The following is a 16306-nucleotide window of genomic DNA, read 5'->3' on the forward strand; positions in this document are numbered from 1 at the left end:
CCCTAGTTAGCTGTATTCCTAGGTATTTTATTCTTTCTATGTCAATTGTGAATGAGATTGCATTCCTGATTTGGCTCTTGGCTTGACTGTTGCATAAAAATGCTAGTAATTTTTGTACATTGATTTTTTTATCCTCAGACTTTGCTAAAGTTGTTTATGAGCTGAAGGAGCTTCTGGGCAGAATACATGGGTTTTTTTAGATACAGGATCATACCATTTGCAAACAGAGTTAGGTTGACTTCGTCTTATTATTTGATGCCCTTTATTTATTATATTTCTTTTGACTGATTGCTCTGACCAGGACTTTCAATACTATGTTGAATAAGAGTGATAAGGGAGGGCATCCTTATCTTAGGAATGCTTGCAGCTTTTGCCCATTCAGTATGTTATTGGCTGTGAATCTGTCCTAGACAGCTCTTATTATTTTAAAGTATGTTCCTTCAATACCTAATTTATTGAGAGTTTTTAATATAAAAAGATATTACATTTTATCGAAAGGCTTTTCTGCCGCTTTTGAGATAATCATGTGCTTTTGTCTTTACTTCTGTTTATGTGATGAACAGATTTATTGATTAGCTTAAGTTGAACCATCCTTGTATTCCAGGGATAAAGCCCACTTGGTGATGAAGGATTAGCTTTTTGATGTGCTGCTGGATTCGGTTTGCCCGTATTTTGTTGAGGATTTTCATATCGATGTTCATCAAGTATATTGGTTTTAAGTTTTCCTTTTTTGTTGTGTCTCTGCCAGATTTTGCTATCAGAATAATACTGGCCTTGTAGAATAAGTTACATAGGAGTCCCTCCTCCTGAATTTCATGGAATAGTTTCAGTAGAAGTGGTATCAGCTCTTATTTGTACATCTGGTATAATTCAGCTCTGAATCTGTCTGTTCCCAGGCTTTTTTTTTTTTTTTTGGTTAGTTGGCTATTTTTTACAGATTAAATTACAGAGTTCATTACTGTTCTACCCAGGGATACAATTTCTTTGTGGCTCAGTCATGGGAAGGTGTATATGTTCAGGAATTTATCAACTTCTTCTAGATTTCCTAGTTCTTGTGCATAGAGGTGTTCATAATATTCTTTTATGATTATTTGCATTTCTGTTGGGTCAGAGGTAATAGCCTCTTGTTTCTAATCGGGTTTATTTAAATCTTTGAATCTTTTATATTAGTCTAGCTACTGGTTTATTTTATTTAAAAAGAGCTCCTGAATTCATTGATCTTTTAATTTTTTTTTCTTTTTTTTTTTGGCTTGTGTCTCAATCTCCAGCACTTTAGCTCTAATTTTGGTTATTTTTTTTATTTTGCTAGCTTTGGGTTCGTTTGCTCTTGGTTCTCTAGTTATTTTAGTTGTTAAATTAAGATCTTTCTAATTTTTTGATATGGACATTTAGTGCTATAAATTTCCCTTTCACCACTGTCTTAGCTGTGTCCCAGAGATTCTGGTATGTTGTATCTTTGTTCTCATTAGTTTCAAAGAACTTCTTGATTTCTTCCCTTAATTTCACTATTGATCCCAAATTCATTCAAGAGCAGCTTATTTAGTTTCCATGTAATTGTATGGTTTTGAGTGATTTTCTTAGTCTTCATTTGAAATTTGATTGTGCTGTGATCTAAGAGACTGTTATAATTTTAGTTATTTTGCATTTGCTGAAGTGTTTTGTGTCCAATATGTGGTTGATTTTGGAGTATATTTCATGTGTGATGAGAAGAATTTATATTCTGTTGCATTTGTGTGGAGAGTTCTGCAGATTTTTATCAAGCCCATTTAGTCTCATGCTGAGTTCAGGTAATGAATGTCTTTGTTAATTTTCTGTCTTGATGATTTGTCTGATTCTGTAAGTGGGGTGTAGAAGTCACCCACTATTATTGTGTGGGAGTCAAATTCTCTTTAAACATCTCCAAGCACTTGCTTTATGAATCTGGGTGCTTCTTTATTGAGTGCATATATTTAGGATAATTAGGTCTTCTTGTTGAATTGAACCCTTTGCCATTTTATAATTGTAGGGACCAGCCCCACAGGGTCGGTGGGTTTCTCCCTGTGTGCGGAGATGAGAGAGTGTAGAAGTAAAGACACAAGACAAAGAGATAAAAGAAAAGACAGCTGGGCCTGGGGGACCACTACCACCAAGTCGCAGAGACCAGTAGTGGCCCCAAATGCCAGGCTGCACTGTTATTTATTGGATACAAGACAAAAGGGGCAGGGTAAAGAGTGTGAGTCATCTCCAATGATAGGTAAGGCCATGTGGGTCACATGTCCACTGGACAGGGGGCCCTTCTCTGCCTGGCAGCCAAGGCAGAGAGAGAGAGGGAGAGAGATAGACAGCTTACGCCATTATTTCTGCATATCAGAGACTTTTAGTACTTTCACTAATTTTGCTACTGTTATCTAAAAGGCAGAGCCGGGTGTACAGGATGGAACATGAAGGTGGACTAGGAGTGTGACCACTAAAGCGCAGCATCACAGGGAGGTGGTTAGGCCTCCAGATAACTGCGGGCGAGCCCGACTAATGTCAGTTCCTCCACAAGAGGTGGAGGAGTAGAGTCTTCTCTAAACTCCCCCCAGGGAGACTCCCTTTCCCGGTCTGCTAAGTAGCAGGTGTTTTTCCTTGACACTTACGCTACTGCTAGACCATGGTCCACCTTGCAACAGGCGTCTTCCCAGATTCTGGCATTACCACTAGACCAAGGAGCCCTTCTGGTGGCCCTGTCTGGAAATAACAGAAGACTTGCACTCTTGTCTTCTGGTCACTCCTCACTATGTCCTCTCAGCTCCTATCTCTGTATGGCCTGGTTTTTCCTAGGTTATGATTATAGAGCAAGGATTATTATAATATTGGAATAAAGAGTAATTGCTACAAACCAATGATTAATGATATTCATATATAATCATATCTAAGATCTATATCTAATATAACTATTCTTGTTTTATATTTTATTATACTGGAACAGCTCATGTCCTCAGTCTCTTGCCTTGGCCCCTGGGTGGCTTGCCACCCACAATAAAGCCCTTCCTTGTCTTCTTTAAAAATCTTTGTTAAAGTCTATTTTTTCTGAAATTAGGTTTGAAACCTCTGCTTCTTTCAGTTTTCCTTTTGCTTAGTAGATTTTTCTTCATCTCTTTATTTTGAGCCTATTGGTGCCATTGCATGTGAGATTGCATGTGACATGGATCTCCTGAAGACAGCATACCAATGGATCTTGGTTCTTTATTCAGCTTTCCACTCTGTGCCTTTTAATTGGGACATTCAGGCCATTTACATTTAAGGTTAGTATTGGTATGTGTGGATTTGATCCTACCGTCCTAATGTGAGCTGGTTATTATGCAGGCTTGTTTGTATGGTTGCTTCATAGTGTCACTGGTCTGTGTATTTAAGTGTTTTTGTAGTGGCTGGTAACAATCTTTTCTATTTATATTTAGAGCATTCTCAGAAGCTCTTATAAGACATGTCTGGTGGCAATAAATTCCCTCAGTATTTGGTTCTCTGGAAAGAATCATATATCTCCTTTGCTTAGTTTGACCTGATATTAAATTCTTGGTTGGGATTTATCTTCTTTAAGAATGATAAATATTGGCCCCCAATCTCTTCTAGCTTGTAGGGTTTCTGCTGAGAGGTCTACTGTTAGTACGATGGGCTTCCCTTTGTAGGTGACCTGACCTTTCTCTTGAGCTGCCTTTAACATTTTTTCTTTCATTTGGCCTTTGAGAATCTGATGATTATATGTCTTGGGGATGATCTTCTTGTGAAATATTTTACTGGAGTTCTCTGCATTCCCTGATTTTGAATGTTGCTCTTTCTAGCTAGATTGGGGAATTTCTTACGAATGATATCCTAGAATATGTTTTCTACATTGCTTACACTTTCCCCATCTCTTACAGCTACACTAATTGGTAACAGATTTTGTTTCTTTACATAAGCCTATATTTCTCAGAGGTTTTGGTCATTTATTTTTATTCTTTTTTCTTTATTCTTCTATGACTGTCTTATTTCATAAAGCCAGTCTTCAAGCTCTGAGATTCTTCCCTCAGCCTGGTCTACTCCGCTCTTAATACTTGTGATTACATTATAAAATTCTTGCAATGCTTTTTCAGGTCTATCAGTTTGGCTATGTACTCTTTTATACTGGCTAATTTGTCTGTCAGCTCCTGTATCATTTTATTGTGATTCTTATCTTCCTTGGATTGGGTTGCAGCATTCTCTTGAAGCTTGATGATTGTCATTCCTATCCATATTCTGAATTCTATTTCTGTCATTTCAGGCATCTCAGGCCAGTTCAGAACCTTTGCTGGAGACGGGGAGTGGTTGTTTGGAGGAAAGAAAGCACTCTGGCTTTTTACGTTGTTAAATTCCTTTCATTGGTTTTTTCTCATCTTTGTAGGCTAATGTTTCTTCAATCTAAAGTTGCTTATCTTTGATTTTTTTTCTTTTATCCTACTTGAAAACTTTGAGGATTTGATTGTGGTATAAGGTGGATTCAGCCAACTAGCTTTGTTTTTGTAAGATGTTGGGAAGAAAATATTCAGCTCCCAAATCCTGGACTACGTGCTCTGATGCTGAGGGACTTGTATCAGGCCCCAACTTTGTTCTCTAGCTCCTTTTGGTTAGGAGTCCACTGCTCTGTAGGGGGGTCAAGGTGATCCTGAAGTATCATTGTTTACATATGCCAGCAGCAGTGGCAGTATGGTAGAGTACACACTCATCAAGTGGAGCAGGGTGTTGGTAGGTGCTGGGGCTCCTGCCTTTGTGTAGGCATTCACAATAGTGGCAGAGGCAGTGTGGCTTGGGGAAATGGGAGACCTCTCCTGGAAACTGGGCATGCAATTGTACTGGTGGTGGTGTTAGTACAAGGGCAGGGCACTCATGAATACTGCTCTGTCTGCATTCTCTGTGCACTTCAGGCAGGGGTGGTCACTCAGGGCAAGGGAGGGTCTGCTGTTCTCTGTGCCTAGTTTCACTCTAATGGCAGTGTTGGCAGAAGGCAGGATGCTGGTGGGGATGGGCCTGGCTAACTCTGTGCCTGCCAAGGCTTCGACTGCAATGGCAGTCTGTTGTGGGTAAGTGGGGATAGATTGCACTCCCACCACAGGAGTGGCAGGACAGGGTGAACACAAACAGCTGTACTGGTGGGACAGGCAAGGCAAAGTCACCCATACACACGTGCATAAAGGCAGGCATGGCCAAGCAGGGACCCTGGAAGTGGCCAGCCGACCAAGGGGTGCTCAGGTTGGAAAAGTCCCATCTGATGGGTAAAGTTGTCCTGCAGAGTTGAGGTCCAACAATTTCCCTGGAACTAAAGATTCCTATGGGGGCAAGTCAAGCCTATAGTTGGCTTCCCTTGCTATGCTCCACTGCAGACACTGCCATACCAAATCCTCTGGGCTCTGCTTCCATTGGCGTTCTGCCCCTACCACTTCTCTAAGCAACTCTTTCCACCAACTCAAGTGTCCATGCTGGTTGTGGGGTCTCATCCTTCTGTGATTCCAAAGACCCATGGCGAGAGTGGGTTACTCCTTGACTATTCAACCCACCCATTCCCCTGGAGTCATTGGGGGCCAGGAATGAGTCCTGGTATATGAAGACACCCTGCAGGGTTACCAGCTTCGTCTTCTTTCAGCCCAGCTTCTGTGTCTTCCCTCGGTCCAATCTCTGTGCCTACCCTCTGAGATCTGTTTAAGAATGTGCCAGTCATCTTGGCCCTTCAGTGGGAGCTGTTTCACCTGGCTGTGTCTAGTTGACCATCTTTTTCTCTCAGACATTTTTCAAAAAAAGACATAAAAGCAGCCAAGAAACATGTGAAAAAAATGTTAAACATCACTGGTCATCATAGAAATGCAAATTAAAATCACAATGGGATATCAACTTACACCAGTGAGAATAGCTAGCCTAAAAACAGATGTTACAAAGGCTATGGAGAGAAGGGAATGCTTATACACTGTATGAATGTGAATTAGTACAGTCTTTATGGAAAACATTATGAAGATTTTGCAAAGAACTAGAAATGGAACTACCATTCAATCCAGAAATATCACTACTGGGTATGTAACTGAAGGGAATTAAATCATTTTATCGGAAAAGGACCTGTACTCATATGTTTATCACAGCACTATTCAAAATAGCAAAGATTTGGAATCAACCAAAGTGTCTATCAATGGAAGATTGGATAAAGAAAATGTGGTGTGTTTTCTTTATATTGAATACACACACACACACATCATGGAATACTACTCAGCTATAAAAAGAGAATGAAATTATGTCTTTTGCAGCAACTTAGATGGAGCTAAAGATCATTATCCTAAATGAAGTAATTAAGAACTAGAAAGTCAAATACCACATCTTCCCACTTACAAGCAAGACCTAAACAATGGGTACACATTGACATACAGAATGGAATAACAGATAACAGACACTAGAGACTACAAATATGGAGAGGTGGGAGGGGGTAAAGGTTAAATATTACCTATTGGATATAATGTTCACTATTTGGGTGATTATTACACCAAAAACCTAGATTTCACCACTGCGCGATATATGCATGTAAGAAGCCTGAACTTGTACTCCCTAAATATATAGAAATATATTACCAAATAAAATTAAAAACAAAATAAAATCAAAGGAGGCTAATGGAAAGATCCACATTGACTTTACAACTTGTGTTTATCAATGCTGTAGAATAAAAGAATGCAACTGCTTTTTGAAAATGAACTTAAAACCTGCAGAGGTTTAGAAACAGATAGTTGACAAATTGGCATCAGGAAAAATGACTCTGAAAATGTTTTAGGAAATTTTTTTCCAGAATAGTTACTTAGACGTTTACTTTGACCAGAGGTGCAGCAGGTCATAACAAAGACAATTGCAGCCAAGCCTCCCGGGTTTCCTTCCTCTGTCGTCACAATTTGCACCCTGCTGAATGAAATGTCAATCCACTGAACCATGTCAGGGCAATGAGCATAATGATAGGAACTCAGTGGTATAAATGAGGTTAATAACTGGTGAGAAAGCAAAGCTTTTTTCCTAGATCCTCTGCATTTTCTTCTCTGCGCAGTGTAGCTCTTTAGAAATATTGCCTGTCCGTGGAGAGCTAATAGCTCTCGTCATAAAGCTAATACACTGTGCTTCAGTCGTCTTAGAACTCATTTCTGAAGTCACAGTAATCTGCCTTTCCTCTACTATGTTTTGTTTTTACTCTTGAAAGCTTTTCTTATTTTCCAAGACTTCAAGCTGAGTGTAAAGCTTTTCTCCTGCTTCTTATGCCATTTCTAATCAGGGGTGACACTGGTTTTCAGAGACGTTTTTCTAATTTCAATTTTTGATACATAGAAAAGCATCTTGTGAAAGAAATAAAGAGCATATTGAAATGTCTCAGACTAGCTTTAATACTGCAGCTTTTTGATCCACGTTCACCTTTCCTTTTCTTTTTTCACCATTCCCTAATTCTCAGCATTGTAGGAGAAATTTTGCTGTTTGCTGCTGTTACTCCTTGCATTCTCTTTCTTACAAGCTATTTTGAGGATATTGAGTCTCATAATAGACTAAGAGAACCATATATATTTTTTGAGTTGCCAGGGATTACCTAAAGGCAACTGGATCCATTTGATCACATACTATATCAATGTATCCTTTGCAATCTGTATCTGTGATTTATTTTGCTCATATGCCCATTCTTTGAGCTTTTCACTCCTGCTCCTACATACTGAAGGTCTGCAAGCCTTTAAGGAATGAACCTACATAAGCAATCTTGAAAGGATATCAAATCACAAAGGAAAAGTATGTTAAAAAAAAAAAGACACCTTCATTTCTAATGCTTATCCCCTTGCCTGAAACAGTATCCTCCATGAACAGAATCCTTTGAGTTCATCTTTGATCACCCTTCCCTTTGCATGTGCCTTTTCCTTTTGTGTTTTAGCTTCTTAAAACATTTGTAGTAATACTTCCTTGGTAGTTAAAGGTTGTCTAGTCCAGGCACTACTTTTACGTAAAGTAACTCCTGTGAGGTATATATTATCATCAGCTTTCTTTCACAAAGAAAACAGTCAAGTAATCTGCTTCAACAGTTTGCATAAGGAAGTAAGGTGATTTGCTCAAAGTTGCACAGCCAATAAGTGGCAGACCTACAATGTGAATCAGGAGGATTTAGCTCTAGAGATCATATATCCCACAACAACAGCATACAGTGTGCAACAGGCTCACGTATAGCTTAAGGGAATCAATGTATAGTCAGCAACGTATGCTTTGAAGCATAGTTCTCCCTCTTAATAACATTTATGATAATGGACATATTACTTTGCTTTTTGAGCTTCAGCATTGTTATTGGTAAAACAAAACTAATAATCTTGTTCTAATTGTGATTTTTTATGGATTAAATTTAAAAAATGTATAAATACTACCTGTAACTTTCTGATGAGAAAAACAAGACATGGAGAGATTAAAAGACAGGTATGGCCATTTATTTAAATTTATGTAAATATATATATTCATAACTATATATATATTTTTAATATAGTATTGAATAATATTTTTTCTTTTGGCTATAACTTCCATTTCCTGGACATACAAAATTATCTTCTCCAGCTAACCCCATTTCTTACTCCTCCAACAAGGTCAGCTCTTCTCTGGGATCCATTGATTTGAGTATCCTATCATTCACAGTGTTATTTAAATTTTCAGTGTATTTCATTTTATATCCCACCAACAGTGTAGGAAATGTATAAATTTTTCACATTCATATCAACATTTGTCATCTTTTGTCTTTTGTTAACAGCCATCCTAACAATGACAATGAGGTTTTATCTCATTGTTGTCTTTATTTGCATTCCCCTGATGATCAGTGATTTTGTGTATCTTTTCATATACCTATTAGTCATTTTTATGTCTTCTTTGGATAACTATTTATTTCAGTCCTTTTCTCATTTTAAAATCATGTTATTTTTGTTTTTGAACTGTAGGAGTCACATATATTTTGAATATTAACCCCTTATCAGATACATAGTTTGTGAATGTTTTCTGTTATGGTGTAGTTTGCCTTTTCATTCTTGATTATTTCATTTGATAAGCAGAGGATTTTTAGTTTGATGTAGTCTCATTTGTCTAATCATTGCTTTTGTATTGTACCTTTGGGTCATATCTAAGAAATTATTGCCCAAACCAATCTTGTAGAACTTTTCCTCTGTTTTCTTCTAGGAGTTTTACTATTTTAGGTTTTAAGTTTTTAACCCAACTTGAATTGATTTTTGTGTATGGTGCAATATAAGGGTCCAATTTCATCATTTTACATGTATATATCAAGTTTTCCCAACTTCATTTTTTGAAGGGATGATCCATCCACCATTGTGTATTCTTTGCACTCTTTTCAAAGATCAATTGTCTGTATATGCAAAGGTTTATCTCTGGGCACCCTATGCTATTCCATTGGTCTGTACATCTGTTTTTCATGCCAGCACCATATTGTTTTAATTTCTGTAGCTTTGTAATATATTTTGAAATCCTAAAGTGTGATGCCTCTAGCTTCATTTTTTTCCTGTCAAGGTTGCTTTGGATATTCAGAGTCTTTTGTGGATCCATATAAATTTTAACATTTCTTTTTCTATTTCTGTAAAAATGCCATTGGGATTTTGATAGAGATCACAGTAAATCTGTAGATCATTTTGGGTAGTATGCATATTTTAACAAACTAAGTCTTCCAATCCATGAACATAGGATATTTTTCTATGTATTTGCCTTTTCTTTAATTTCTTCCATCAATGTTTTGTAGATTTCAGTGTACATGTTTTTCACCTCCTTAATTCATTTGAATCCTAAGCATTTTATTCTTTTTGATGCTATTGTAAATGAGATTGTTGTCTTAATTTTTTGATGGGTGAGGATGGTTTGTTGTTAATATGTAGAAATATAGAATCTTGGTAAGTAAGCAAGAACAAGGAAGTGCTCTCAGGTGCAGGAGAGTATTCTGAGAAATGGCTAACTACAGACAACTCACTGGCACAACATCCTGTTCATAGCCCCAGCAGCATGATCTTATCTGCACATAGTCCCTCTAGCCCCAACTCTTTAAATCTGCTTGTAGCCCCAGCAGCATGACCTTATCTGCACATAGTCCCTCTAGCACCACCCTTTAAAACTTCACTCCAGCCCTTCCCTCTTGGCAGACAGCACCTTCTCTGCTGTGCTGCCCATTGCTTCCTTACAACATACTATCTCTCTAGTAAACTTTTTTCTTTAACTCACTGCTGTTTTGGTAAATTATTTTACCACTCACAACATTACTGATAATCAGTTGCAACCAGTGACGAGAAAAATAGTTGATTTTTGTTATGTTGATTTGTATTCTTCAGTTTTACTAATTGTATTTATTAGCTCTGACAGGGTTTTATTTGCTTTTTTGGTTGTAGTTGTAGTCTATAGGGCTTTCTACATGTACAAACGTTTCATTTGGGAATAGTGCTGATTTTACCTCTTTCTTTCTGAGTTGGATGTTACTTACTTATTCATTTATAGTCTAATTGTTCTGGCTAGGCCTTATAGTACTATGCTGAATAGAAATAAAAAGAGTGGACAGCCTCACTTTGTTCTTCATTTTAGAGCAAAAGTATCCAGTCTTTCACCACTGAGTATGATGATAGCTGTGAGCTTGTCATGTGCGGCCTATAAAGGATAAAAGAGGTAGATACCTTCTATGCCTCATTTGTTTTGTAGATAATTTTTATCATGAAAGAGCATTTAATTATGTTTGATGCTTTTTGTCCCTCAAAAAACAAAACAAACAAAATACAAACAACAAAAGAAAAAGACAAGAGAATTACTAAGTGATCCAGCAACCCCACTATGGACATATATCCAGAAGAACTGAAATCCGGATCTCAAAGAGTTATCTGACTCCCATGTTCATTATTACAAACTGTATTTACAATAGCCAAACTGTGAAAACAAGCTACATTTCCATTGACAGATGAATGGAAAATAAAATTTGGTATATGCAAAGAATGGAGTATTACTTAGCCTTAAAATAGAGAAATACTACCATAGGTGACAACATAGATGAACCTGGGGACATTATGCTAAGTGAATTAAGCCAGTCACAGAATGAAAAATGTTACATGATTCCACTTATATGAGGTATCTAAAATAGTCAAACTAATAGAAACAGAGAGTATAATAGTGGTTACTTGATGCTGCTGGAGGGAAGGTGAAATGGTAAATTGCTCTTCAAGGGGTATAAAGTTTGAGTTATAAAAGATGAGTAAGTTCTAGAGATATGCTGTACAACATTATGCATATAGTCAACAGTACTGTATTTTGCAATTAAAACCTTAACGGGAGGCTGGGAGCGGTGACTCATGCCTGTAATCCCAGCACTTTGGGAGGCCAAGGCCGGTGGATCATGAGGTCCGGAGATCGAGACCATCCCAGCTCACACGGAGAAACCCCGTCTCTACTAAAAATATAAAAAATACAAAAAAATTAGCTGGGTGTGTTGGCAGGCACCTGTTGTCCCAGCTACTCGGGAGGCTGAGCAGGAGAATGGCATGAACCTGGGAGGCAGAGCTTGCAGTGAGCCGAGATCACTCCATTGCACTCCAGCCTGTGCGAGACTCCATCTCAAAATCAAACAAGAAAGCAAAAACAAAAAAAAAAAAACAAAAATAAAACAACAGCAACAACAACAAAAAAACCTTAACAGAGCTCATGCTAAATGTACTTACCACAATTAAAAAAAAAAAAAAAAGAAAAAGAAAAGAATCTTGCTACTGTATTGGTCTATTCCCCTAAGGATGGGCTTCCTTTCTTTCATGTGCAAATTTCTCAAGTTAATCTAAGCATTCAAGATTGGCTAAATGTGAGAACTGTAAAGAGTTGAAGGACTCTTTACAAATTATAAAATTTGAATAGCATTTAATGACAATGCCATTGATATCTGGTCCTGTAATGTATCATTAAAACTTCTGTCCTGGAGATGAAGACATACAGGAACCCAAAAAGAACAAGGAGAAAATATCTCACTGCACTTTTCACTGTATCTCACTGCACTTTTCACTGTATACTGTATTGTTTCTTTCCAAGCAAAATTCCAGAACTGATTTCCAACAATGCTTTGATAACAAGTTCTAAGGCAATAGATTGTTTCATATGTGATGTACTTTTCTCAAATAACTTTGGGAGATTTGGCTAGATATATAAACCTGGTGACCAAGTATTGAGGAAGTAATACTATTTTATATGCTCCTGATTGAAGAGTCACTTTATTGTTCTTTTTAAGTTTTATAATTTAGCATCATCAATGTGTTTCACATTGCTTTCTACTGTGCCCCAAGCACATTACATATAGAAATTAAAAAATAAAAACATCTGTGTTCTGGATCTACTTGCTAGTTATCAGACCAATTACATATGTTCTTGCTTCTTGCTATTCTAAAGAGAATCCTTGTGTAAATATAGTCATTTTTAATTATACTTCGTGATTTACTTTCAAGGAAAATGTTCCCCCACACACAGATTTATCATTTTCTGTGTTCCACATGCATTTTAATCCCTAAATTACAAAATATTTGTTATATCACAGTTACCTTGTTGTCTAGTAATCTAGTTTTTAGTAACCTAGTTGATATTATATGACAAAATAATGTTTAGTAAGAACTGACTTGGCACTCAGCACATTATTCAGTTCGGTGGGCGATATATAGTCTGAAATAGCCCAAATGTCAATAAGACTTACAGCCTAGCTGGGAGAGGGGCACGATGAAAACATGTAAGAACATACTAAATATGTATTTATACATTGAGGAGTCAATAATTTCTATAGGAACTTCTCCATCATTACAGACATTATGAAGAGCAAGAAAATGTTGTATGGGTACTAAAATATTGGGATATTTAAAAACGTTTTCTTCATAAGGTGCCCACACAGTAATGGATCATCTGGAAAGAAATAAGTCAAGATGCATTCATTATCAAACAAGAATGACAGATTGACAAACAGAAAACACTTTTTCCTGGTAAGTGAATGATAAATGCATACACAATGCACTCTGAGAGCAGAGAGGATGGGAATTAAAATTCAGCCCTCCCTGTGTTAGTTGGTCAGGAAGAACAGCCTTGTAAAGATAATTGTAACCCAAATGCAGAGAGGAGCTTGAGCAAAAACATGAAATTTCAGCTGCAAGAAAACTCCTATCACTGGAGTATAAAAATCAAGACTAGTCTCATAGGAGATAGGCTGGGTATGTAGAACAGGAGCAAGTTCTGTAGTTTGGCAACACCGAATAAATGTGACGTTACTCACGCAGTCTGTAAGCTAGACCTTGCCCATAAGGGCAGGTCAATATGGAGGCTCTTTAAATCACTTACACTCATAGACATTAATATTCTAGGTAATATTGTGATCACTTTTATAGGCTATGGAAATAACCCATATTTATACAACATGATATATCAGAAAATGATGTGTCTTTGCCTCCCAAGTGCATTAAAATGTGCACCTTCCTACCTATTGCCCCTGTTTAGTGTGGGAAGGATGAAAGCTAATGAAGGGAATGGAAGCATACAAGTATACCTTGTGCTTTCAACAAACTGATGTACTTTCTTTCAGTGTTGAGACTGACTTTGGTGAATGTAAGAGTCTTAGAAGGAATCTCTTATATCAGAGCTAAAAATTTGAATAATGTTGTGGCTTCAGTCAATGTTTAAACATTTGTTTATTATAATAGAATTTTGGATAGACTATCTGAAACATTATTTTTATATTCTGGGTTAGTAATTACTAATTTGGGTAATTGCAATTTTGCTATTCCCAAATTACAATTTTGTGTTAGAAGTATTTTCTTTTGTACTTTTCCTATTTCAAATTTCTATGATTGAGTTATATTTGTAAATTTCTGTCTTAATATTGGTTGCTAAATACATATTGTTTCTCATACAAGTTTCATAATATGCATTACAAAATTTACAATGTTATTGATGATACACATAAAGAAACAATCATAAAATATATCAATTTTATATGGTCAGCAGATGGCAGTGTTTCTGAGCTGGTGAGTACACCTTCCTGTTAACCTACCAATTTTGAAGTTTGGGGTTTGAAATATAGTTTTTTTTTTTTATTTTTAAAATTCGAATACTATACCTTTTTATTGGAAAATGTGTTAATGTTTTTGGAAAATTTAAGTACAGTAAATCTGGGGAGCACTTTTCTCATGATTTTGATCCACCTTTGTTTCTTTCAGTTTTTCTTTTTCACCCATCTTGCAGACTTCCTTCCTTCCTTTTCCCTATTTTCCTTTATTCTTTCTCCATATTTTCATTCCTTGACTCTTCTTATATTTCTTATGCCATTATTTTTTGTTGCTATTTAAAACTATTCTTTAAAAAACCCTTCATTTGGAAAGTTAAAATTTAATATAAATGCAAAGCGTTCAATGTAAAGATTAGTCTCGCAAAAGAAAGGAGTTTTGTAGAAGCTGTCAGTGAGTCTATGTATGAAAAACACTTTTACTCAGAATAATGCTTTTAAAGTTAGAATAATTGACAGATTATTGTTTGCTGATTAATTTAAATAACCCAAATTATCTAATTTTTACTGTGTAAAAAAATCCTTTTAGGCCGGGTGTGGTGGCTCATGCCTATAATCTCAGCACTTTGGGAGGCTGGGGTGGGTGGATCATCTGAGGTCAGGAGTTCAAAAGCAGCCTGGCCAACATGGTGAAACTCCATCTGTACTAAAAATACAAAAAATTAGCCAGGCGTGGTAGCGGGTGCCTGTAATCCCAGCTGCTGAGGCAGGAGAATTACTTGAACCTGGGAGGCGGAGGTTGTAGTGAACAGAGATGGTGCCATTACACTCCAATCTGGGTGAGAGAGCGAGATTCTGTCTCAAAAAAACAACAAAAAAAGTGTGTATATATATATATATATAGCTTTATTTTGAAATGCACATGGCAATTTTAACTGTTTTAATATAGAAAATGCCATCCTAACGCTTTCAAGATGCTTGGACTTACCTGTATTTTCACAAGCTGTGAAGTGTATTTACAGAGTTAGTTTTGAGCTGTTTGGGAGATATTCCTTTATCTTGGTGTCAAATTATTTTGTTTGTATTTTTGTGTTTTACTTAAGATCCTTCAGGTCTTGCTTTAAGTAAAAACTTCTTGTCCTATAGGGCAATTGAATTTTGTCATGGGTATTTCATAGCTAATGATTGTACATTGGATATTGTTTGAAGCAAGAAAAATGAAGAACTATTTAATGAATAAAGGCTCTATTTGTTTTTATTCTAAAAGCTTACTGTGGTATGTAGGGAAAGGGTCATATTTTAATTAAGGCCATTAGTAGCTATTGATTAACTTTCATTGGTATTTCAAGAGTATGTTTAACTTTTTGTATTTGTGTGCTTCTTATTAAGAAGCTTAACTCAATGAACATGTTTTTATTTAGAATATAGCCAGTTATAAACCCTCCATTTGCTATTCATACAAACATTGTGGTCAGAAGTTCGAATCTTCTATCACTTGCAATTAAGGCATTAGTTACTGTTTGATGGAAAGAAGCAAACTGACCAATCCAAATCTTTGCTTATTGTATATTTAACATTCCTATGTGTACACCTTCTCTGAAGTGCCAAGGAGGACCCTGAAAAACATCTCTGGACATAGTTCAGGGTTGTAGGGAAACTCGTTCCTAGCATTTACAGCAATAGTGAGCAAATTGCCAATACTTGGGCAGAAGAACATAGAGAAGTCCTATAAAATTTAAAATTTAAACTTTAAGTAAAAGCTTATTATTATTGTTTTTACTCAAATTATAAAATACAATACTTTTCTATTTTAAAAGTACATAATAAAGATACTTAACACTTTTTGAACAACTATATCAAGAATTTTAAGTATGAATGTATTCTCATTATCTTCATCCTATAGCTGAGCAAATTGAGGCTTAGGAAGATAAGACAGCTGGGTATTGGTTTATTCTTTAGGGAATGAGAATACATAGAAAGTCTTTAAAAAACAACTAACCAACCAACCAATAAACAAATACACCAGAGGATAGCATGATTAGAGCTAATATAGAGAGAGACCTCTGAGGGCATTGTGTAAGAATCTTGTTTGAAAGAAAGTACAGAGACTATTGGGTGGCCCAAACAGTAGGAGGTAATTCAGATCTGTATAGCGGCAGTAGTACAGAAAATTGAGAAGAAAGTGTAGATACAAGAAACATCAAAGTTCAGCTTGACGTAATTGATTTCCTTTGTGTTGAGAGCAAAAGAGGATGAAATCTACTTAACTTTATAGTAGACTCTTTGAAGTTTTTTCCTGTTTACTCT

Source organism: Homo sapiens, chromosome 4, assembly GCF_000001405.40.
Source record: "Homo sapiens chromosome 4, GRCh38.p14 Primary Assembly".
NCBI lineage: Eukaryota > Metazoa > Chordata > Mammalia > Primates > Hominidae > Homo > Homo sapiens.